The sequence below is a fragment of the Homo sapiens genome, chromosome 3 (genome assembly GCF_000001405.40).
Source record: "Homo sapiens chromosome 3, GRCh38.p14 Primary Assembly".
NCBI lineage: Eukaryota > Metazoa > Chordata > Mammalia > Primates > Hominidae > Homo > Homo sapiens.
In genome coordinates, this window is record NC_000003.12 from 17217364 (window position 1) to 17244196 (window position 26833).

At 35.9% G+C, this 26833-nt stretch overlaps 1 protein-coding gene across 62 annotated transcripts in view, besides 3 other annotated features; it reads right to left on the reverse strand.

The window, feature by feature from the left end:
* Positions 1-26833, reverse strand: part of TBC1D5 (TBC1 domain family member 5) — a 585470-nt gene that overhangs the window by 60202 nt on the left and 498435 nt on the right. For 40 of the 62 annotated variants that reach the window (XM_047449296.1, XM_047449314.1, XM_047449291.1 and 37 more), the window contains one exon: positions 20800-21056. In XM_047449296.1, coding sequence (XP_047305252.1) covers positions 20800-21056 — 257 coding nt within the window. Of the gene's footprint in view, positions 1-16321; positions 16388-20799; positions 21057-26833 lie in introns of all 62 variants that reach the window. The other 22 variants (XM_011534283.4, XM_047449286.1, XM_017007556.2 and 19 more) reach the window with 1 other exon arrangement.
* Positions 14574-14868: an enhancer, noted in NCBI's record as "tiled region #10783; HepG2 Activating DNase matched - State 8:EnhW". NCBI's record gives its function as "activates a minimal TATA promoter and a strong SV40 promoter by Sharpr-MPRA in HepG2 cells {active_cell/tissue: HepG2}" and the evidence as "EXISTENCE:reporter gene assay evidence [ECO:0000049][PMID:27701403]".
* Positions 15243-15312: an enhancer, noted in NCBI's record as "active region_19569". NCBI's record gives its function as "activates an Ori minimal core promoter by ATAC-STARR-seq in GM12878 lymphoblastoid cells {active_cell/tissue: GM12878}" and the evidence as "EXISTENCE:reporter gene assay evidence [ECO:0000049][PMID:35858748]".
* Positions 16312-16381: an enhancer, noted in NCBI's record as "active region_19570". NCBI's record gives its function as "activates an Ori minimal core promoter by ATAC-STARR-seq in GM12878 lymphoblastoid cells {active_cell/tissue: GM12878}" and the evidence as "EXISTENCE:reporter gene assay evidence [ECO:0000049][PMID:35858748]".

A 26833-nucleotide genomic window follows, 5' to 3' on the forward strand; every position in this document is an offset into this window, starting at 1 on the left:
TTGTTTCCCTTTGTCTCACGTAGATATCTAGAAGTGGAACTGGTGGGTCAATATGGCAACTCTGCATTTAACATTTCGAGAAACTGCCAGTTTTCAAAAGTGACTACACCATTTTACATTTCCATCAGTATTGTATAACGGTTCCAATTTCTCCACATGCTTGTCAACACTTACTATGAGCTATCTTTTTATTTCAGCCATCCTAGTGGGTGTGAGATGGTATTTCATTGTGATTTTGATTTGCAATTTTCCAATGGCTCATGATGCTTAGCATCTTTTCAGGTGCTTATTAGACACTCATCTTCTTCAGAGAAATGTTTATTCAAATCTTTTGCCCATTTAAAAAGTTGGGGTATTTTCCTTTTTGAGTTGTAAGTGCTCTTCATATGTTCTGGGTGCAAGTTCCTTATCAAACATGACTTGCAAAAAATTCTTCTGTTCTGTGTATATCTTTTCACTTTCTTAATGGTGTCCTTGGAAGCCCAAAACTGCTTAATTGGATGAAGTCTCATCTACCTATTTTTTCTTTTGTTGCTTGTGCTCATAGTGTCATATCTAAGAAACTACTGCCTAACCTGAGGTCATGAAGATTTACTCAAGTTTTCTTCTAAGGGTGTTATAACTCCTGCATTTAATTCTATGACTTATTTTGAGTTAATTTTTGTATACAGCGTGAAGAAGTAGCTCAAGTTCATTCTTTTGCATGTGGATATCTAGTTTTCCCAGAACTATTTGTAAAAAAGACTACTCTTTCCACATAAATAATCTTGGCACCCGTGCTGAATATCAACTTACCATACTCTCAACTCTATTCCATTTATATATGATGATCTTTATGTCAGTATCACATTGTTTTGATTAAAATAACTATATAACAAGTTTTGAAATCAAGACATGTGAGTTCTCCAGCTTTGTTCTCTTTCAAGATTGTTTTGGCTACTAGGGGTGCTTTGCATTTCCATATGAATTTTAGGATCACTTTGCCATTTTCTCCAAAAAAGACATCTGGGATTTAGATAGGGATTACAGTGAATATGTAGATCAATTTGGTAGTACTGCCATATTAACAATACAAGATTTATGAAAAATAAATTTATATTATCTTTTATATTTGCCTACACAGCTACCTTTATCAGAACTCTTTTTCTTTGTGTGGATTTGAACTGATGTCTAGTGTCCTTTCATTTCAGCCTGAAGGACTTTCTTTATTATGTCTTATAGGGAAGGTTTACTAGTATTGAATACTCTCAGTTTCTATTTATCTGTAATTGTCTGAATTTCTCTTTCCTTTTTGAAGGATAGTTTTATTGGATATATAATAGAATTCTAGACCGACTGGCTTTTCATCACTTTGAATATGTCATCCTACTGCCTTCTTAACTCTCTGGTTTTTGATGAGAAGTCAGCTGTCAATCTTACTGAGGAACTCTTGTATATCATGAGCTGTTCTTCTATTGCTGCTTTCAATACTCTCTTTGTTGTCAGCTTTTGACAGTCTGACTATGATATATCTAGGTGTAGATCTGAGTTTATCCTGCTTGGAGTTAATTGGACTTCTTTGAGGTATGTACTAATGCTTTTCATAAAAATTGTGAAATATTTCAGCCAGCATTTCTTCAACTATTCCATCTGCCCCTCTCTTTTCCTTCTCTCCTTCTGAGGCTCTCACTATCTGTATGTTATTATGCTTCATGGTGTTCTGCAGGTCCTTGAGGCTCTTTTTGTTTTTTTTTTTTATTCTTTGTCTTTCTGTTGCTCTAACTGGATAATTTCAGTTGACATATATTCCAAGTTCTGATTCTTTGGCAGCTCAAATCTGCTGTTGAGCCCCTGTAATAACTTTTAAAATTTCAGTTGCTGTATTTTTCAACTTCAGAATATCTATTTAATTCTCTTTTTATAAAGCCCCTATTTTTTTTACTGATCTTCTCTATTTGATGAGACACTATTCTCTTTCATTCCTTTAGTTCTTTAGACAGGGTTTCTTGCAGTTCTTTGACATATTTACAGTAGCTGACTTAAAGTCTTTATCCAGTAAGTTTAATGTCCAGGCTTCCTCTGACACAGTCTGTATTGCCTGCTTTTTCCCCTTTGTGTGGGCCATACTTTCCTGTGGTTTTTTTTTTTTCCTCATACCTTATACTTTTATTGAAAACTGGACATTTTAATAATATGTGGCAATTCTGGGAATCAGATCCTATTCCACCATCTGAACTTGTTTTTCCTGTTATTTGTTGCTGTTTTAGTAACTTTATTAAATTAATGTCAAATGGTGACAATTCACTGGGCATAGAAGTTTTAGGGTACTCCAGATACATTGTGCATCCTCCTGTGGTTGTAAGGTTACTTACTAGTTTTCAAAGCTACTGTAGAGCTCGAAAGAGGGTGACAGGAATAGGGTAAGCTAATATGCCATAAAACTCGCTCTTCTTACTAAGATTCAGCCAGTTTTCCTTGATGTCATCCTTTGGTTAACTTCCAGAGTTCTGAAAAAGTTTATTTTGATCATTTTTTGTCACTGTTCTTATGACTTTATGGAGGAACAGATTTTCAGGGGCCCCTGCCATGCTACTCCAAAAGTGCTTCTCTCTGCTGACTTGCTTTCTGAACCTACCTTGATCTTGGAAATTTGTCTATGTCATATGTCCTCTTTTTAAGAGCTGTGAGGAAAAAATTTCTGTTAACACTCTTGAGTAGTCATTTAGGTTTCTTCTAATGTTTAGCTGTTCCAAACAAAAACATCAATTAACATTTTAGAAAGGTACACCTTTAGGCACAAACAGTTGGCTATTTCTCTACAAGGTAGAATTATATAAGTGGAACTGCTATGTATAACTATATGCACATTTTAAATTTAGATAAATAATTCCAAATTGCCTTAAGATTTTAACAATTTATAAATCTGTTGCAATTTCTGAAGGCCTACCATCTTTGTGGAGACTGGATATGACATGATATTTTATATATGTGAACGTGTATGTGGTTAATCAGATAGAGGAGGACTTCACTATGTTAGCTTAAAGTTTCCTGATAACTAGAGAGGCTGAGTATCTTTTAACATATTTTTACAGCCCGCTTTAAGGTCCTTTGTGAACTCTCTGCTCATTTTACTTTCCAAAACTGATTCAGGAAAGTTTTTTCTAAATTCTGGAAATTAATCCTTTCTGTGTATGTCTACTTTTTCTTTTATGTCTTTTATTTTTAGGGTCCTGCTTAGGAAGCATTTCTTACCCTAAGATAATATAGTGGAATATAATTTAGGTATTATAAATCTAGGTTTTTCATTTGTTCTTTTCATAAATTTCTCCTTTTTTCCATGAATTTTTCCTTTCATGAATTTTCTCCTTGCTCCTTGGAACTCCTTAAGCCAGTGGCTTTTATTGCCTTGGAGGTGGTGGAAAATGGTAGCTAAACCAAAAGGATGGCTTAGTTTTGAATTTCAAATTACTTTTAAAAGGCCATAGAACAAAAGACAAATCAAGAAGCCATGGCATTTTGATTCACAAGGCTTTTTGACAAAATGAAAAAAATTCCATCTTTTTAAAAGCTTATATAACTGAATTTATTCATCTCTTCAAAGTTTGGATTATTGACTTATACCCCTCCAGTGTTAGTGATTTTTTAAAGGAATTGCTGTAATGACTTTTGGGATTTTCTTTTGTTGTTGTTGTTCCCTTATTAAGGATTTCTACTTCTTCTTGGGTCAATTTTCTTCTTCTTGGGATAATTCATATCTTCCTTTAAAAAACCATACGGGAGGCAGAATAATGCCTAAGCCTTTAATTCCCAGAGTCTATGAATTTGTTACCTTACATAGCAGAAGAGACTTTGCAGGTGTGATAAGGTTAAGGATGTTGAGATGGAGAGAGTATCTTGGGTTATCATGGTTGGCCAACCTAATCCTGTGAGTTCTTTTTTTTTTAATTTTATTATTATTATATTTTAAGTTTTAGGGTACATGTGCACAACGTGCAGGTTTGTTACATATGTATACATGTGCCATGTTGGTGTGCTGCACCCATTAACTCGTCATTTAGCATTAGATATATCTCCTAATGCTATCCCTCCCCTCTCCCACGACCCCACAACAGTCCCCAGTGTGTGATGTTCCCCTTCCTGTGAGTTCTTAAAGTAGAAGAGGAAGGCAGAAGAATGAGCTAGAGAGAACGAACTCAAGAAGAAAGAGGAGAGAGTTCAAACATGAGAAGGGCTTGACCTGGTGTTGCTGGCCTTAAGGATGGAGAAATGGGGCCATAAACCAAGGAAGATGTCATCTTCCAGAAGCTGGGAATGGGCCTCAGTTAACAGACAGTAGGGGAATGAGGACCTTGGTCCTATAGGTAAAAGGAACTGAATTCTGCCAACATAGCAAATAAACAAGGAAACAGATTCTTCCTCAGAGCCTCCTGAAACCTTGACTTTAGCCTAGAGAAACCTGTGTCAGACTTTTGACCTAGAGAAATGTTAAATAAATTTGTATTGTTTACATCACTAAGTTTGTGATAATTTTTAAGTCAGCAAGAGAAAACTTCTCTACATTTTCAACTTATAAAGTTGTATACAGTAGTCTCTTACAGCAACTTATCCTTCTTCTGTATCTTCAGTTCTTTCATAATTCTTATTTTGAATGTGTTAGTATTTTTCTCTCATTTATTCTTGATCGGACTTACTGAATGTTGGATTACTTCACTGTTTTTAAAGAACTACCTTTTGGTTTCACTCATGTAATCTGTTTTATTATGTGCTGTTCATCTTTTCTTTTATCTTTATTCATACCTTTACTTACTTTAGTTGTATTCTGATGTTCACTTTCTATCTTCCTGAGTTGTATGTTTAGATATTTTACAGTCTTTCTTGTTTTCTAATAATTTCTTTTCTTCTGAGTGGCCTTTTATCTCTGTCTTTCAGGGTTTTGGTAATTGGCACTATCATTATCATGAACTTCTACACTGGTAATTTTTAAACATTTCCTTATTAGTTCAACAGTTCTTTAGAAGAATGATTTTACCTTTACAAGTGATGGGATATGTGTGTGTATAAAATAAATAAGTATTTGGGAGCGGGGAGGGTAGCAGGTCTGTTGATAGACCTAAATTCTTACATGTCCCCAAATGTCCATTTTTTTTCTTCCCATTTGAATGTTAGCTTGGCTGAGAATAAGATACTAGTTCAAAACAACTTTTCCTCAGAACTTTGAAAACAAACTTAAATGTCTTCCGGCCTTCGGTTTTACCAATGAGAAATCTGATGTCTATCTGATGATTATCTTATAAACAAACTTTCTGTTTGTTCTCTCTGGAAGTTTCCTTGAAGTTTTGTAAATCTTTTATGGGGTTCCTAGGGTGTGTCATTTTTACTTTCATCCTGCTTATGGGATTTTTTTTTTTCTATCTCTAGGCCAGTATCTTTCTTCAGCTCTGGGAAATTCTCTTTATTACTCCTGTGATATTATACTCTACTTATGATCTCTAGACTCTCAACATTTGACATTACAGTTCAATTTCAGAGTTAATCTAAAATTTCAGGTAGAAGCATTAAATTTTTTTATACTCCTAGAAAAAGTTAGCATTTTGGGGACCATTATAACTTTTTTTCATTTTCTTCCAAAATGAAAAAAACCATCGTAAGCAGTTATAGCTATTAAATCTTACAACATTTAGTTGTCTTGAATATTTTCTGAAGGGGGGAAGGCATTATATATCAAATCTAATTATATGAAATTTGCCTGTAAAATTCTATCAAAATCTGTTGAAAAGTTTTTCCATTCAAAAGAAATTACAATATAATAAAACAAAAATCTTCAGAAGCTTTCCAGGTTTGTATAAATCAATTGCTTTCATGTTGAAATTATATTAAGACCCAAAAATCTTTTCTTTGATTCTAGATTTTATATATATCGTAGCTGGGTACTATTAATTTTTGTTTCCAACCATCTCTACATACATATTTCCCTAGTTTGCCTATTCCCCCCGCAAAAAAGTCAGAAAATTAGAATACACTTCAGCAATGTGATATTTGCAAAATGCTTGTCCATGTATATATCTGGACCTTTACATATATTATTTCATTTAATCCTAATGACATTGTGAGATGGTTATGTATGAGAAAATGGAGGCTTGGATGCTTTAATTCACTTGCTCAAGAACACAGTTATAAATACCACTAGAAGCATCGTAAGTTAAACCCAGATTTGTCCAAACTTAAAAGACTACGCTGGCGGGGTGCGGTGGCTCACACCTGTAATCCCAACACTTTGGGAGGCCAAGGCTGGTGGATCACCTGAGGTCAGAAGTTCATGACCAGCTTGGCTGACATGGCGAAACCCCATCTCTACAAAAAATATATAAATTAGCTGGGCATGGTGGTGCGTGCCTGTAGTCCCAGCTACTCGAGCAGAGTCAGGAGAATCACTTGAACCCTGTAGTCCCAGCTACTTGGGAAGAAGCAGGAGAACCCTGGAGGCAGAGGTTGCAGTGAGCTGAGATCGCACCACTGCCTTCCAGCCTGGGTAACAACAGAGCAAGACTCTGTCTCAAAAAAACAAAACAAAACAAAACAAAACAAAACAAACAAACAAAGAAAAAAAGACTATGCCAATATATATAATTAAATTTAAATTTCTGAATCCTGCAGAATGACTCCAAGGAATTATTATTTCAAAATGACAAAAAAAGTTTTGGAAATAGGCCTTTCTATCCAATTTTTAGGATACATATATTTTGTGAATGGCTTTTCCTAGGAACAGAAAATATCTGATGGTCAGGCTTCTTGTATTCAATTACTAGTGTTCCTGCTTATATTACAATGGACAAATTTCACTAAGGGCAGGAAGTGTGGTCATTACCAGTTTCACCTGCTGGGAAAAAAGCTAGCACAGTGCCTGCACATTGTGGAGCTACCATAAATGTTTGCTGATGTTCAATCTGGAATATCTGAAAATAATTATAAACACCAATGCTGATCAACAGAAATATAATGTGAGCCACACATGCAATTTCTAATATTTTAGTATTCACACTTAAAAAGTAAAGAAAGATAAAATTAATTTTAATAATCTATTATCAGCCTGACATGAAGACAAAATAAAAAATTATTGACAAATTTTACATTCATTTTTTCATACTAAGTCTTCAAAATGCAGTGCATATTTTTTACTCACAGCATACATTTCAAGAGCTCAGTGGCTACATGTGGCTAGGGGATACCATGTTAGACAGCAAGGGTATAAACTAACGAACAGTCAAATTTTTCATACATGAAGGTTATTATATTTTGTGACTATTGTAACAAAATAGGGTAATGATATGTCTGGGAGAAATCTTTAGAATACCTGCTTTAATAAGTTAGCTTATCAATTCTTTACTGTATGAGAATAATTAAACATCCAGAAAGAATTTGAAAGCATTTGTTCCCTTGAGGGGCAACAACACCCAGAGGTTTCTTTTGCAGCTATTACCCTGCTTAGTAAACTTCCTTTTTCAGTGGTAATACTAAGATCAGCTCTTATCAAAACTTATCTGTGAACTATGAAATTTCAAATTGGTGGTAGTATTAATAAGGAACCTGGCCCACATCTCACATTAAAAACATATGTTTCTCCTCAATTATAAAAATTAGCTTACTAACATATTTTTGTGCCCTCTGGGAACACAAACATTCAGACCCTTAAGAAAATGGAGTCACTAGAACATGTTCCCAAAGGGATGATGGAGAGCACAGTCTACCGTCCATGTTCCACACCTGGATATTTAACCAACAGATCAAAAATACAAAAATATACATATAAAATAACAGGCCGGACGCGGTGGCTCACGCCTGTAATCCCAGCACTTTGGGAGGCCGAGGCAGGCAGATCACTTGAGGTCAGGAGTTAGAGACCAGCCTGGCCAACATGGTGAAACCCCGTCTCTATTAAAAATACAAAAATTAGCTGGGCATGGTGGCGCATGCCTGTAATCCCAGCTATTCAGGAGGCTGAGGCACGAGAATCACTTGAACCTGGGAGGTGGAGGTTGCAGTGAGCTGGGAGTGCATCACTGCACTCCAGTCTGGGCGATAAGAGTGAGACTCGGTCTCAAAAAAAAAAAAAAAAACAAAAAACAAACACCAACCAAACAGTACAACACAAATAGTACAAATAAAAATACAGTATAACAGGCTGGGTGCAGTGTCTCCCACCTGTAATTTCAGCACTCTGGGAGGCCGAGACTGGAGGATTGCCTGAGCCCAGGAGTTTGAGACCAACCTGGGCAACATAGTGAGAACCAAACTGTGAGACAGAGTAGTGGTGCGTGCCTGTAGTCCACTCATTTCTACAATAAAAATGAAAAAGTAGCCAGGTGTGATGGCACACACCTGTGGTCCCACCTACTCAGGAAGCTGAAGAGGGACAATTACTTGAGCCCAGGAGGTAGAGGCTGCAGTGTGCCATGATTGCACCACTGTACTCCAGTCTGGGCAACAGAGTGGGACCCTGTCTCAACAACAACAACAACAAACCCAGTATAACATAGCATTTACATCGTATTTGGTATTATAGGTAATCTAGAGATGAAGTATAGAGGAAAATGTGCATAGGTTATATGAAAACCCTATACCATTTTATATAAGAGACTTGAGCATATGTGGATTTTGGTATCCGCAGGGGTCCTGGAACCAATCCCCCACAGATACTGAGGGACAACTGTATTTCCTCTGGAGATACATAGGAAAAGCCCAGGTACCTGGAGTAGTCTTGTCTCAAGACAAAAGGATGCACTCTCAGACTTCTCTGCCTTTTTCGTATCTGGTATGCACAGAATCTGATCACATTTGTATAGCACACTGGGGTAAATGGATGTGGGCTCATCCAGGCTTCCCCTGGACAGCTCCTGAGCTGAGGGGTCAGTATTCTCAGCAAGCTTGTAACCCATAAGCTACATACTGGTTCCAAAGTTCTCTACATACCTTTTTTTTTTTTTTTTGACAGAGAGGAACAGCATGAAACATTTTTGTTGCACGAAAATTTAAAGCCTATTCTTAGGGGCACATTCTAAAATACGCTGCTGTAGGGCCCTGCCCAATTCCCTCTTCAGGTCCAAGGCACTTATTTCCCCCAGCTGCTGGAAATGCTGGCTGTTGATGGCTCCCCTGAGTTCTTCTCTGGAAACTGCCCGCAACTGAAGAGAGCTTCCTTGCCCAAGGTCATGCCCCTTACCTGGGAATTAACTCCAATCCAGTGACTGGTTTGAGTTGACAAGTAAAAGCTGGCCCCCTTGCCTCAAGGTGGACAACTCTAGAGGACTACCCCAGCCCCAGAGGGTTCCAGCAGCAACTGCAAAGCGGTCGGTTTAGCTCTCTCCCTGCCAGTGTTGCTTCTTTCACTCCCCAGGTACTGATCTCAAGGATGCTGCCCAATAAATGTCTTAACCATGAATCTGTCTCACAGTTTGGTCTTCAGAATTTCTGACCCATGACATTTATTTAAAATTATTTTAGATTGTAAGACATTCTTAAATACATTAAATATAGGCTCATTCTTAAGCCATCTAGGGTGTACATGTATTAATGCATGTATGTAGTCTTTCATTCGTGACCAAACATCAGGGAATGAGCCCTATGCAGAGTGATCTTTTGAAATGCCTAAAGAAATTTCTGTTTAGCACTGGGGAGGGAAGTATGAACATAACAGAAGCTCTTAAGAAACTCCCAAAATAGCCATACAGGGAATACAGACTTGTATACACACTAACCTACAACCCTAGGTAGCAAAAGCGAACACTGAAGTACAAACAACAGCACTTTGTGTGCGCAAAAGGGGGAGTGTCCAATCTTGTCTCAGACAATTAAGAGTGTGAGCTAGATCTTAAAACTCAAGAGGAAATGGTCGTGGTGGGTCAGGGAGGGTCCTCTCTAGTGGAGAACACAGTATTTTCAAAGGCATTGTACTAGGAACATCTAGCTTAATCAGGGCCTGATTAAAACCTTTGGTGCTCCCTGCCATCAATATGTAATTGAAAATGATATCAATATCAAAGTAAAAGGAAAGATTAAGTTCAACAGAGTGCTTTCTAAAAAATTTGATGATTATTTCAATGTTTTTTTGGGGGAGGATCAATTATCAAATTTTTTCTAAAGTTGAAGGTGCCCCATTATACACCATGGAATTCTATACAACCATACAAAAGAACATCATGTTCTTTGTAGGAACATAGATGGAGCTGGGGGCCATTATCTTTAGCAAACTAACACAGGAACAGAAAACTAAATACCACATGTTCTCACTTATAAGTGAGAGCTAATGATGAGAACACGTGGACACAAAGAGGAGAACAACAGACACTGGGGCTTACTTGAATGTGGAGGGTGGGAGGAGGGAGAGAATAAAAAAAAACTATTAGGTACTAGGCTTAGTACCTGGGTGATGAAATAATCTGTTTAGCAAACCCCCATGCCACACGTTTACCTATATAACAAGCCTGCACATGTACCACTGAACCTAAAATAAAAGTTTTTTTTTTTTTTTTTAAGAAAAAAACTAAGTTGCTGGTACCCTAAACATGAGCTTAGTTTCCCTCTTGATCATCCAGTCTTGGGGAGTGGAGGATAGTGGGAAGATGAGGCCAGATCAAGGGTCTGACAGATCAAGAAGAGCTCCTTATTCTCATGTTAAGGGGTCTGGCCTTTATTTCATTGGTGGTTGATGGCAGTTACTACAGATTTTAGGCCAGAAAATTGAGTGAGGATTATAAGGGCTTGGTTGAGTGGACCATCTGTTGCGTTGGTCCAGGCAAGAGATTATGGCCTTCAACTGAGGCTGTGGTGGTAGATTTGAGAGATGTTTACAGGGTAGAATTCCCCAAGCCACTATCTGGTGGGTCAGACACAGCTAGGATTGAGTCTGAACTGGGTTGATACCTAGTTGTACGGCCTTGAACAAGTCACTGACCCTCCACTGGCCATAGTTCTCATCTACAAGTGGCTGTGTGTCCTAAATGATAATGTAAAGGGTTTAGTGTGGTGTCTAGCATATGCTCTCCGTAGACATAAACCATGTCTAGTGGAAGGCATAGAGATGGCTCCCAAATCTAGAGCACATAGTTTAAAATGCAGTACTCTGGATTGTGGATTCACAGGTTCTCTCTTGATAGGATCATTGAAACCCCTCCTGGTAGGACACTGGCTGCACTTCTCAATGATTTCCCACAGACTTCAACTAACTGGCACTAAGTATAGAACCATCATATATGCATCACATAAGACTGCCTGGCAGAGCAACTGAAATCCAGGCCATGGTCTGCTTATTAAGTCATGTGCCCTGGTGTGAGCTACATCTGCAGAGAAGTTATCTTTTTTTTTTTTTTTGTAAGTTGCACAAAGTTACTGTTCGGATGAGACACAGCTGTGTCTAGCTATCTTATGTCCTTCCTTCATTCTCTTTCCCTCTCTGAAACACTCAATAAAAGTACTGTGCCCTGTGTGCTCTATGTCATTGGAGGCAACTTGTCAAGAGCCTAAAATGACTGAATGAGCTTCATAGGCATCAGTGGAGATTCCTGACTGCAAAATGGCTGAGAGAGAAGGAAAGAGGAAGGAAAAATGCTTATTAAGCTCCTACCATGTCCCATGAATAATATTTTCATGGATTTTCTATTACCAAATTCGATAGGAAATAAGAAAAGGGGGTGGGCATTTTACTAAATAGACAGGCAGAACCCCAGTACACCTGAGGTCATCTGAGGAAGGTGGACACTGGACACCCAAAGGCAAAATGTTCAGGAGGTCTACGGGGGGACTTGCTGGGAACGTATAACCTAGATAAGCAGAAAGGGAAAAACCTGGGAACCCCTGTTCTGTGGCCACAGAAAGGGGATAACCTTGACTTTATATAGTGACCAAGACAATGAGGCATCTGGTCCCTATATAGTAACAGTTTGTTTCCTGCAGACTTGAGTGACAGATAGCAAAAAGGCTAATGTCTACTAATGAAAGACATGCATCTTGCTGTCACAAGAGTGAACAGACACAGGTTGTACTTGAAGCCCCTGGAATAGACATTCTCTAGCTTGACCACAAAAGTCAAACGCTGTTGGATTGGGTACCTGCATGCAAACATGTGTCTTTAGAATATCAGAAATAATAATTAAGAAAAGATAGATGTGTGGAATGAGCTCCTTCATTATTTGATTCTGAGATTCAGAGAGGTATTTGAGGAAAGCACATAATGGTGCTATCATCACCACTACCTGAGCAGGTAGCACCCTAGAGCCCTCACTATGCAACAGGTGCTGTGATGATGTCCAGCAACAACCCTTGAAGTAGCTGCTCTTATTCTCTCTTTACAAATAAGAGGTTAAGTAACTTCCCCAGGTCATCCAGCAAGGCAGTGATGGAGCCTGAATTCAAACCCAGGCTTGACTCCAGAGCCCGTGCTAGACAAAACTGTACCACCCTCCCCATCTCATAAGGGTTGTGCCAAGTGGGCTGATGTAAATGTGACCTAAAATTAGATTAAAGCAAAATGGAATGAGGCCTTTTGAACGTAAAGGGCAAATTCTGATCTTGTTTTCAGTCCAAAAACAACTCATTTATTCAATGTCTTTTGGAATAGATGTTCCACAAAAATGCATTTTCTAGCTAACTGATGTTTCCCAAAATTCATTTTACATATATTTCTCTGCCTTAAAATGATTATACTGAACATAATGGAACTACTTGTTGTGCTTCAGGTCTATCACATCTCAACAATAACCAGAGCAGCCAATCAATATAGTGCCATCTATGAGGACCATTTTTTGTTTTTTTTGGTATCTTCCCTCACTCTTGTGAGTGGAAGCTGTCTCTTTTTCTTGTCATTATTCTGTCCTACTCTGGTTGACTTGACATCCCTCTCCTTGTTCTACCAACTTGTTGCTTTTCATTTACACTGGGACATTTTTGTCAGTGCTTTCTTCTTGATGGTCCAGAGAGAAAGTCACCTCCAAACAAATGAGCTCTTACCACATTAATGTGACTCCCACATTATGCCTCAATTTAATATATATTTTTTTCTCCTGGAAGAAATCATAAGAAACTTAACAATGGTTACCCTTGGGGAAATGGGCTGGCAGAAAGGTGGGAGGAGAAAATGGAGATTCTCCCCTACTCCCATTTTTCATGTAGTACCTTTAATTAATTGGAATCATCTAATGTCACATATTTTAGTTTTACCTTAAGAATATCAACAGTGGTTACCTGGACAGGAAGTTTTTTTTTAACCTTTTTATATTTAAAATAATCTGATGTTATAGATATCTGTGCGTATGTATATGCATATTTACATCCATAACACAAATGTATATATACAAGTATAAATTTTAAAGATGCCTATGGAAATTATTTTAAAAAATCTAAAATTCTTTCCTAATGGTCCATTTTATGTTAATACCTAAATCTAGTCATCTCTCAGTATCCATGGGAGATTGGTTTCAGGACCGCTGTGGATACCAAAATCCAAGGATGCTATAGTCTCTTATATAAAATGGTAGTACTATTTTTAAATAACCTACGCATATCCTCCTTTATACTTTAAGTCATCTCTGAATTATTTATAATACCTAATACAATGTAAATGCTACGTAAATGGTGGTTATACCATATTGTCTAGGGAGTTATAAGAAAAATGTCTGTACATGTTCAGTAGAGACTCATTTTTTTTCTGAATATTTTTGACCTGTAGTTGGCTGAATCCAGAGATGTGAAACCCATGGATACAGGGGGCTGACTGTACTTCTGTTGTTACAAATTCCAGATTCTCTTTAAAAATAACATATGTCTTGTGTGTGTACCTGTGTTTAAAGCTTTTTGATTTGTGAATAAATTCATAAATATCTCTTGACAAAGGTTTCCGGGGGTAAGTATGCAATTTCTAAAACTAATTTTGAAGAACCTCACTGAGTTAAGTCTTTGATAAACAAAGTCTGCTGTGGCTTTTTTTTGGTGTGTGATTGCAACCTACACTGCAAGATATAAAATGAAATTTTTGAATAATTCTCTAAAAATTACTTATTGATCTAAATTATGGAATCTCACCTTATATTCAGGTTTTTTCTTAAAAATAAAAGCCCATATAACTGCTGTGTTAAAAGTCAAAGATACAGACATAAAATTTCATTAAAAAAAGACTATCTATAATCAAGGAATCATCAAAAGTATTGATACTTACTTTATTTCTTGAAATTTACTTCATTGCTTTGAAAAAAGACACTTGGGAAAATCTAAGTAGTTTAATTCCTTGACACTGATTATATTAAGCATAGATAGAATTTTTTTTTCTGCTACCACTATTTTGGTTTACTTCTACTTCCCCTTGCTTCTTGGTACTCTTCAGGGAATATGTTGAGGAAGACAAAAAGTGACTTCCCCAAATCAGGTAGGTGTACTCTCATTGTCTATCATTGTCAAAATCATCACCACAGACTAAAAGCTGTTTATTTGTGATTCACATCTATTAAAGTAGCTGGAACTTTCCTTATCAGACTGATACAATCTCTGCTAGGGTATGGGAGGCAGAGGTGATTCTGAATAGGGTATCTAGTAAAAGAGCTGGTTCCCGACTATGTAGGCTTAACTGGGTCACCTAAAGCAAAGGTAATGCCCAACCAACCAGGTAAAGCTGTAAGGAAAGCCAAGGGACCAGTGAAAACAGAGCTTGACACAGCAGCAGGCACTCAATAAATACTTGTTGAATAAACAAATGAGATAATTCTACTTATATAACACGAGGTATTTGAACAAAACAATATAACCTCCCTCTTTGAAGTTCTAGTTAAACAGTTACGTTACTCCTGTGGCTCTGGTTTGTAGGAAAAAAACTGGATTTATTAATAGCATAGAAGCAGAAGTCAGAATAAGCAAGCCAACTCTTAGCTTTTCTTTCCATAGGTATAAATTGGGCTCCATATCCTATGTCTTGCAGAGAAGCCAAAGATCTACTCTGTAGCAATTAATGTTGGGACAACAACACACATGTTAAAAAGTTGTCTGTGGGGCTCAGAATTTAATTTTAGAAAACAAATTTAAGTCTTGTAAATTCTCTCCATATCAGATGATCACATTAACATTCATCTCAGTGCAAAGCTAAAGAGAAATCATGTAGACATTATCTGCCTTTCCTCTTGTCCATGCTATTATACCCTTCTATTATGTAGATCATTTAACAGACAGCAAGAGTGAACAGCTCTTCATGGAATCCCTGAGCTAGAAAAGCCCTTGAAGTTCATCTGGTTCAATTACCAGAATACCTCCAGAAACTATACCTGTGAGACACAGAACTATATATAGAAGTGAAAGCTTACTCCTCTATTGCCACAATGTGGTGGGTTTTTGTTTTTTAAGTTAACCCAATACATCAATCTCTTAATCACAACCCATTCTTTTCTGTTCCACCCCCCCTAAAAAAATGGATAATATGAGGACATATCATTATTAAAACAGTATTTTAATACTACTAGCATCACTATATTATGTGGTATTTTAAATTAAGAAAAACATGGTATGGATTTTAATTAATACTGCTATCATTTTAGTCTGAATTTGAATAGAAGATTCTTAAAGTTACTCTAGGCTTCCATTTAACACAGAAATCCTCTCTATCGCATATTTCATCTAAAAGACTGCATAATAAAAGATTAATGCAGCCACTTTAAGTATTTATATGTTTTAAAATTGCATAGGAGGTAGATGATCACTTTTTGTATTTATTTAAAAACTATATTTTCTATATTTTGAACAAATGGATATGATATTTAAACATTCTTTTTTTAAAACCATTGCCAGTTACCATAAATGAAGATTTGCTACACTGTACTTTAATTGTGTTAACATAATGCGTAATTCAAAGGCAATACTTAAAAACATTTCAAAATCAGGTTGTAATTATTTCAGGCAAAATGTAAGTATTTCTGGCTAATCGTAGCACATAAGATGTCTATTTTCAGAACTAATTGGTCAAATACTGTCACAGAGCACCAGTGTAACAAAAAGAACACCTCAGTGTGAGCTGGCACACAAAGTATACTATGTTATAATAACCACAAAATACAGGGTGAATCATATTTTGCAAAGAGGCTTGTGCACACCTAATAGAAAACCCACATCACAGCCATATTCGGCATCACCAAGGTATGACATGAGAGGGGACTTTTGTTCTTAACAATAGTGCCACTCAGTGGCTGAACAATGGTAGTGAATTGAAAACAGTATGAATGGAGGGTGGGCAAAAAGAAAAATGGAGTTTTGGAGTAGGCAATGATAATACTGTAGGCAAAGAAAAAGAAACACTATGTTGTTATGGTAACTGTACCTTGGAGGTCAGTTAGAGTCTGGACAGGAACAGAAACCTGAGCATCGCTTCCTGTAACTACATCGCCTGGATTTCATAAGAAAAAATAATTAGATTTCATAAAAAGGAAATAATCAACTTCACTTTTCTTTTATACTGAATGTTCTAATACTTTAATCAAATTACTAAAAATATAGTACAAAAGAAAATAATGCACAAGCTTAGAAAAATATAAAATATTTTCAAAGAAAATAATCTTTAAGAGCATGTTTTCTAGAAATGTTTTGTGTTTGTTTTTCTTAAAGAAAACACAAACAAGTTTCAACTAGAGTATAGGAAACTTCAGCAATCAAAAGATTTTGCTGAGCATATTTCATGATGCTACAAATATTAGTGTGATTTTATATTTTCCCTTTCATCCAAAAGTAAGTTATATGTCATTTATTTAAAAATAGGCATTCTTTTGAAATTGATTTCCTCCTATATCAGACAAAATTTATTTTTAACTAACTTGAAACCAACTTCTTCAGTGATAAGATAAAGTCCTCAATAAGTTCTAATTTCACATTAAGTAATGAAAAGATTTAAGTTACCACATGTACTTATAAATGTCAACATGTAAAAATAAACCTGTGAACTGCATACCCTTCACTTGATATACTTATTGTAGGCAAGATTTCATTTACAAATTGGACTTATAGTAAGTGCTTAAAATAATGACATGTTCAAATTAAAAAAGCAATTTAAAATATAGACAAAGGAAACAGGAAAAAAAAAAAACCAAGTGCATTTTAAGAACATAAGAAAGGAAAAGGAGCATAACAGGAAATCTCATGAAGAACCTGAGGTGCACTAACATTTGGAAGGAAGACTTTTTGGTTCTTTGATTTCCTTCCTGGATGACAAAGTTCAACACTAAGCACAGTCACTGTCAACAGAATCATTCTCTGGATATATCACCATCTGAAGGCCTATGCTATTTTCAGACTAACAGGCTAAAGAAAAAAGCATTTTAAAAAAGCATCATATTTTCTATGCATGATCATTTATGATTAATTGACTTGTTTCCCCTTGAGCTTTTATATAATATATACAGTAGTAAAAAAAATCAACTTTTGAGTTAAATGACATATCCTCAGTGTTCTGACCACTATGACTTACAGCATGGCCAGCTAATCCGGAAACTGTTAAGTTGTAATTATACCATCATCATCAATTAACAGTACACACATTTAGTCTCCTATAATTGAAATAAAATCTATAAATAGGAACATACCACAAACAAGTGATAAACAGCTTTTAGTGGAAATGGGCCCCAGATTTTCATAGTATATGTACTCTAAATTCACTGATAATGGCGTGCCTACTTTCTGTATCTTTGAAGGAGATTTTCAATTCTGTGCCTGCTACCTGTTTTACTCTGCTGCTTCTAGATCACTTATTAATGTATAGAGACTGACAACTCATTTTAACATTAAATATCACCAAAACAATTACAGGGAACATCTGGGCTGCTCCTTCACTATCCTACCCCAACACAAAGACAAACTACAGAATGTACTTCAAGCAACACATGTGAGTTTGGATTACAAACACAACTGTCCCCCTATCTAAGCATACAAGCACAAGTAATTGAAAGTTAACTGATTATGAAAACCATAAACAGTTTCATCTTTATAAACAACCATTTTTCAACATAACTTTCAAATTTTCCAGCAGAGTACACTAAAAAGACTATTACATTATCTTTCCTCAAAGGCACTAAGTAGATGACTCTGTTCTGAGAGAGAAATCACTTCACAACACAAGCCTCCTGACAGGCTGAATATTGTGTTCACTGATCTATGGGACCAGGTGATATGCTTGCAGCTTTCAGTGTGACAGCACAGCAGGATACATGTGGGAAATACCAGCATAAAGAACCAATGTTGGAGAAGTATTTTTCACTGTAGAGTTAATACATATTCTACCAAAACAACCATAGATTTTTAGAGGTGGGAGACTCTCCAGGGATTAGCCCAAATCTCTTATTTCAGGGTGAGGAAAGAAGAGGGTCAGAGAGCTTCAGGGTGTTGCTTAGGGCTCATCAATGGATGAATAGAGAAGAGCAGCAAACTACACTATCTTCTATCGTCTACTTCCACAAACCGTTCTCTTTGCCTTTTGTTTTATCCATACCTTTGTGAGGGAAGGAGCATTAGCAGGAACATTTATCATTAATCTGAAGGTAAACAAATTTTTGTTTTTTTTTTTTGGTAGATTGACATGAGAAGAACAAAACACAAGTACAAATATAGAAGGGTTGCCAAACAAGGCTACTTCCTTTCAGCACAGGGATCAGTTAAAATGCCCTAGTGATAATCATGTTCCAAATACTTTGCTTAAGTGCTCTGTTGTCTCCTTATAACTGGGGACTTGGTTTTCATCAATTGTTCCATCTCCATGCACTTCCTTTCTCACTTACTGTGATATTAATACTTGACATTTCCTTGGAGACAAAACTTTATATTTCTAGTCATTTGGCTTAGTTCCTCAGAAAATTTAAGCTACAACATTAAGAGATTCTCTGACTCATTTGCCTGCCATCAGTTAGAATTACAACTGACTACAGCTTGTTATCAAAGCAATATTGAAATCGTATTTGTTTAGAACAATAAAACAGTACAATTAAGAAATATGTAAAATAACATTCATTTCCATTCTGGAAATGGGTATATCTCCTGGCATTAAAATACATTTACAATATGCTAATGCTTTGGTCTCTTTTTTTAAAAAAATGTGTGACAGCTCTACGTTAAAAAGAAAATAATGTAATTTTCAACGAGATTTTTTTTTTTTTTTGAGATGGAGTCTGGCTCTGTTGCCAGGCTGGAGTGCAGTGGCACGATCTTGGCTCACTGCAACCTCCGCCTCCTAGGTTCAAATGATTCTCCTGCCTCAGTCTCCTGAGTAGCTGGGACTACCGGCATGCACCACCATGCCCAGCTAATTTTTGTATTTTTAGTAGACACGGGGTTTCACCATGTTGGCCAGGATGGTCTCCATCTCTTGACCTCGTGATCTACCTCGGCCTCCCAAAGTGCTGGGATTACATGCGTGAACCACCATGCCCGATATATTCTTATGCATGGTAATTTGAATATTCTCACAAAAATTTAAATATGAATTATATAAAATCTAGTATTTTACATAGGCAAATAAAAATTAAATAGAAGAATAACATGATGTAACCAATAGAGGAATACAGACACGCATGGGTGTGTGCATGTGTGTGTACACACACTCATTGAATAATACTCAACATTTGTATCATTGGGAAAGAAAGTCCATTTAACTTAAGTTTACCGATTTAAATGGCACTATGTAAAATCAGAAACTAATTTTGAATGTAATTTCCTTAAACAGAGTATATGGAACATACTTTTAAAATCTTCTTACTGACAATATTACTCATGTTACTGTCAACACTAATTATTGAAAACTGATATAACAGAGGGATCCCTTTAAGACATGAATGACACTTGGGTCAGGATGTTTGCTCTGACACTAAGTGGCCCCAAACTGCTTGTGAGGTCTTAGGATTGCTTTTTAAGTATTTTTTGCCATCAAGATACAACTTCTTGCTTCTAGAGTACAGTTAGCAGAGTCCTAGTACTAAAAATAAATGTAGCTGTTTCCAATTTCTTTTGAAAAGGGGGACCTAATACATTATGACTCTTCAAAAATAGGTGAAAAATAAAAATGCAAAGGTTCAGAGTAAGAACCTGAAGTGCTCTCTTATGAATACAAAACATGAGGGAGGTGAAGCTCTGGAAAGGCCCTAACACAGAAATTAGCTTACCTGAGTCCCAGTAGAAAATGTGCTACCAACAGCAGTGCCCTCACTTACCCATTGAGAGATATGGATTGGATGATCTCCCAGGTTTCCTCTGCTGTAACATTCTGTGGTTCTAACTTTTATTTTATGGACTCATACACTTACTTTGGCTGCTTTTAGTTTCTCCCTCCCCACTGCTTAAGATTCTAGTTTGTATTCCTTAGAAGTGAAGCAGCTGGGTGAGAGACTGCAAGCCTAGTGGCCCACTTTCTCAAAACAACTGTAATGCACCAACGAATGCTGTGACTAGTGAAGCCCATGGTACCGGAACTTCTCATTTTGGATTCCTTTCTAGTGAGAAGCATTACTATACAAAGTTAGCAGAGAACACAGTCAACTGATCTCAATTTCTGTGTTGTGTTAATTCATGCCATCATACTGTATGGGCATCTACAGGACAAAGTTGCAAGTATACTAGGATATAAATGTTAAAAAAAAAATTACCTCATAAAATATTCTTAAGACCAACACGGTATCTAGTATTCCAACTTTATATAACATATTTAAAAAGTAAGTTTTGCATTAATTTCTATTCTAGGAGATTGGTTCCTCACAGGCAGGTGAAGAAATCCCAGGCTACACCATGAATGTTTTCTTTAGATTTACTAGTATTTTTTCCTACCTTTGTTCAATTGCACAGGCATGCTTTCTGATTTCATCAGCCTCTGCTGCTGCTGTTGCTGTTGCAAGTGATGGCTTGGGGCCTCTGCTGAGGTCCTGGTAGGAATTACAACAGAGGAGGAGCTACTGCTGTTGCCTCCAGGTACAGGGCCACCTGCACTGCCTGGAGCCATTGCTGGGGAAATCAACTTTCTTCCAAAATTAATCAGGCTATTAGAGACCTTATTTATATTCAGGGGAGCACCTTTGGCATTGGTCCTGTTAAAAAAAGAAATGGAGAAGCATTATTTACATTAGAGGATGATTCTATTTCACATAATTAATTGGTATAAAAGCACACCTTGTCTGCTTTGAAAAAGGTCATTTACTAGACCAGCTATATAAAGTGAGAAGTGAAAAATTTAAAGTTACTACAGAATAAATAATGAGTTTCTTAAAAACATAGCTTATGGAAAACAGTCTTATTTACATTTCATTCATTCATTCAACAAATAGAGCTAACCCTGCTGGGTTATGAGGACATAACTGCCCCAAAATAGACACAGTTCCCTTCCTGGAACTTCTAGTCTAGTAGAGAAGAAGTATATTAATCAAATAATCACATAAATAAATATATGCTTAAAACCTGCGACTGGACTATGAAGGACAGGCTAGGCAAGTCATGGGGTCCTCACAGAAGGGGGCATCTATGAAATGAAGCTAAGAATAGATTTCTTACCAGCCCTGGCACATGGGTACTAGGTCAAATTTAATATGATTTTGAAAATATATATGTCTGACAGTCATGAAGTAAATTCCTAAAAGTTATGTCCTTATTCTCTACCCCAGTGCTCCATATCCTCCTTCTCCACTTCCCTGGTTTATTTTTCTCGATAGCACTTTTCATCATCTGACATACTATATATTTCATTTATTTATTTGGTTATCATTTGTTCACTTCTTCCAATCCCCATTCAAATACAAGTTTCATGAGGGCAAGGATTTTTGTCTCTTTTGTTAACTACTATATTGCCATTGTCTGGTACATCATAGGTACTTTATTAATAATATTTGTTAAATGGTAGCAGCATCTACCCATAGTCCGTCTTTTCACCTGCCACAATGGAAGACCAGCCTCTCCATTTGTGCTTTGAATCCCATTTCCTCTGACTTTCAGAGGTTGTTATTCCTGCATCCTCCTCTCCTGCATCATCATTTTCTCCTTCTTTACTGTATCATTTCCATTAGCATACAACCATGGTGAGTATATGTATATGTACACTAAATTCTCTACTGAACTCTTGTTCCTTTCAAGTTACCATCCCATTTCTTCCTCTACTTATAACATGTTTTTTCAAGGTATATTAAGGTGCCACTTCTGCTTCCTCAGTCTTTGGTCCACCAAGCTCCAGCTGTGGCCTATTTGCCATTGCCCTAAAGCTATTCCTCAAGGTCACCAATGACTTCACATTGCAGTTCCAAAGGTCTATTCTTATTTGACTCTACCTCTCAGCAGCTATCAACTCTCTTAACCACTACTTTCTCTCTCATATTTTGTCTCTTGGCCAGCACCTGTATTATAACTGTGCCTGGCAAATAGAGGGCACCAAGTTAACATTTGTTAGATGAACAATTCCCAAATGACTCAGAATCTTGCAGTATCTCAGGGCTATTATCTTGAAGACCAGTTATGATTACAGATTATTTTAGTTGTAAAGGGGAGTCCAGCTCCATGACAATATTGAAGTTTGTGTTTTTATTGCCCAAATCATTAATAGAAATGAAATAGCTCACATTTTGCTTTTTTCATAAAAATGGAAAATTGAAAATCAACTTTAAGAGATCTACTTATTTGATTTTAATTAACTTGATTTTTACTATAATTTCCTTCTCTCAGATCTAGCTGTCAGCACTTAAATGGTAATTCTACCTTTTATATGACAGCTATATCCTTTCATTACTACATGTTGCTGTAAAACAGAACAGATCCATAGTTCTATAATAAAAAGGAAAGAACACTAGACTTCTACCTTCCATAAAGTTTTCTCTAATGCTACTAGCTAATGTTATGGGCTAGGTATTAGAGACTTACATTGCTTTGGAGGTAGGACAAATCAAATTTAAAATATGAAATTCAGCTTTATAAAAGAAAGATCGATTCATTATAACTCAATGAAGTGTGAAAAAAATTTCAAATGGTTCCTTTGGCATCAAGTTTCATCTTTAAAGAACTGAGCTATGTAAATGTCCTTCCAAAAATTATTAAAAATAACGTTTCCTACTGGAGATAAGGATATAAAGTGATTATGCACCACTTACTTTCATTTTTTAGGTGCTTCCTAGTGAAGTAGAGCATTCTTAATTTACATTTACTATAGGCTGGCAACAGAGAAGGCACTCAATATATGTTTATTGAGAAAAAAGAATGAATGAAATGAAAAAACTCATAAATTCTGGATTAACTAGGCATTCACCTCTGGCATTATATTCCACTCAGCAGCCTGCATACATTCCCATTTCCTGTGAGTGATAGTATAAAGAAAAGCTATCATGGACTGAAGTTCTGTTGCATTTTAGTTTTGCTTGTTTGCAAGTCAGGATTCATAATTCCCAGATATGAAGAAGTTATAATGTTGTTACCCTTTTTTATACAAAAAAAGTACTAGTCAAATTCCCACATTGCCGGTTGTAAAATTTATATGTTGATAAAAGTACTAAGAAACTGCTAGAGCATTATCAAGAGAATACGGTTAATGCATCTTCATTACTACTAATAACCATGAAAAACATATAGATCAAGTTTATGCAGAGCAATTTTTCATCTGAATAGCTCTTAAAAGGGGATGAGCACTGTTTTCCTTTGTTGAACATTTTTTTGTGTGTTTTTAACCATGTTCTCCCTCATCTGGTACCCACAGTTTCTAGAAGAATTTTTTTTTCAAAACAACAATTGAAGGTGATTATGTGTCTTCCGGATATAAGCAATTGTAAGCCATACAGAGAAAGCAATCTGTCCAGAGCTTGTCTGTTTTTCTAGGCATAACAGTTTTTATACCAAAGTTATCTAATTTAGAACTGAAATATGAGCAGCAGAATTCTTCCTGTGAAATATTAAACAACTTCCAACAATTATTAATGGCTGTGATGTGTATGATTAAGTCATGCGTGCTAAATTAATGAAAATTAAAGTAGTTGTCAGAGAGCTGATGGACAGCAGGGATTAGACTGGATTAAAGATGGAGTGCAATGTGTTAACAGTGTTGAAATAAACAGCAAGAGGAATTTGGAGTTAACAAGACATTGAATATCAAATCTAATGAGTAACCAATTTTGTGTTAATTGAAGTCTTTCATTACTATTGTCTATCTACTGTTACTAAAAATAGTACTGTTTAGGAGAGATCATTTTAAAATTCTGCCAGGAACTTAACTTTTGGCACAACCTCATTTAACAAGTTAAGTCAGTACCAAGAGGTGAACTTTCTGAAGATCCAAGAATATCCTCAAAATACCTGTACCAGAACCCAATTCTGACCTGAATTCACTGTTGAGCTTATGTTCAGTTTCTTAACACTGGATTCTCTTCTAGTGAGAAGCATTACTATACAAAGTTAGCAGAGAACACAGTCAACTGATCTCAATTTCTGTGTTGTGTTAATTCATGCCATCATACTGCATGGGCATCTACAGGACAAAGTTGCAAGTATACTAGGATATAAATGTTTAAAAAAAACCCAAAAAAACCCCAAATTATCTCATAAAATGTTCTTAAGACCAACACAGTATCTGATATTCCAACCTTAAAAGAATCAAATATAACATATTTAAAAAGTAAGTTTTGCATTAATTTCTATTCTGGGAGGTTGGTTCCTCACAGACAGGTGAAGAAATTCCAGGCTACGCTGTGAATGAAAATAGGTGATTTTAGCTATCTCTTCCTAGATTTTTATTGCCCACTTGATGTCTTGCAGCCTGGCTTTCTGACCCGCACTCTACTGAAAGAGCTTCTAGGGCCTCCAATGCCTTCGTAGTTTCCAGTCATGGCCTGTTCTTATTACATTTCTATAAACTTTCTGAAGCTTTTAAAAAACCATTATCACATTATCACCTCTATAAAAATTCTCCACAACCTTTTCTCTCCTGGATCTAAATATTTACAAAATTCTAGTTTATCTCCTTTCTTCCTCTATGTTTATTTTTTAGATTTGATATTAAATATGTAATATTTATTTCACTTTTTCTGCAATAAAATCTTGTTAGATGCTTAGCTATACTTTTGTCAAAGAATCACTTCAATTCATTTCAAATTATTTTTCTCTATATTCTAATTTATATATATTTTTGTTATTTCTTTTCCTTGTGTTTTCCAAGGTTGAATACTTCCGTTCATTCATTCACTTATTCATCCTTTATTCTCCCTCTTTTCCGATAAAAGCATTTAAAGCTACACATATGCTTGGTTTTAACAATAGCATGAAAGTTTTCTCTCATTTTCTAAATAGCCTTGTTGGCTCATTTGTTATTTAGGTACAATTAAAAATTTCAGATGGCTGGGTTTGTTTGAGTTTAAATATATTACTTATTTAGATTTATTGAATAAAACAGAAATATTGGAGGAATGGAAGTGGGAAAATGTTCTGATTTTTCAAAACGACTATGGAAAGCACAATTTAGAAAATAAACCGATATATATATATAAATATTTTTACTAATTACTTTGAAATGAATATCTTTTATTACAAGTAGACAGTATGGTTCACTAAAAAGTCATTCCAAGGCAACTTTACTTCTCATCTGATAGTGTGAAAGGTCTGTTAGATTTTGTTAATGTATGTCAGTACCTGTGGAAATAATAATGGAAATAATGCGTGTTCAGATATAGTGGAACAACTGTACCCCAAGCATACTGTTCAATATTCTAGCACCCACCAAGTGTTACTGGTGATTATATGTGTCTCAGACTTGGGTCACAGACTTGTTACCAATCCATCTTTTAGGACGGTCATAATCTTCTGTTAATGAGTTGTGTAACCATGAGAGAGTTATTTATCCTGTCTGGACCCAAGTTTCCTTATCCTAAAATAAGGGAGCTGAATTTTATGATATTTTAGGTACTTTTTAGATTGAAAATTATACTATTTTGTGACCTGAAGAATGAAAATATGTGCTTATTGAATTTCGATCAAAGGCTAAAGAGATACCCAATATATCAAATAGAAGAATCAAATTTTTTAATGTTTTCAACATAAAGTAAATGACAAATGTTTGAGGTGACAGATACGCTAATTATTCTGATTTGATCATTGCATATTGTATACATGTATGATATAGCACACTCTACCTCCAAAATGTGTACAATTATTGTGTACAAATTAAAAACAGTAGTAAGAGCAAAAATGAAAAAAAGACTAAAAAATTTGCAATTTAAAATAATCTCAACAGGCTAGCATGAAAGATTAAACAAAATTTAACAAAGATAAATAAAAGCTCATGTAACTATTTTAAAACTTTTTATAATTGCACATTACATACAGAACAAGAAGGCATGGATAACATGAGTTTAAATTAAAAAAAAAATTCAGAACTCCCAAACATTAATGTTTTGATTGGGTTTGGTTTGGCTGACAAGACTAATATGAGCTCACAGTGATGACACTGAAGAAAATTATGATTCTTGGACTGCATTAATACTAGATGAGTCCTCACACTGCAGAAGATGCTGTATAACTTTGGCAATCAGCTTTGGTAATGCATTAATTTCTGAAAGATTTGAGTTGTGTTTATAAATGGAGTGGAATGGTAGAGAAGCTGAAAACTATGCTGGAAGAGGAATGACTGCAAAACCCGAGGAGTAAGTCCTACATACAATATAGTGAGGGATGCCATGAAGGAAAGCAGCCCTTTTTTGGTGTGGCTTAGAAATGAGATGAGTTACAAAAGTTAAAAAAGTGAGTTACAAAAGCTATGACATAGGAAATCTTATCTAGTGATAAAACAGGCTTCATTTACAAAAGTAAGGGCTCCAATCCTGGAACTGTACAAGTAGAGATTGAAAAA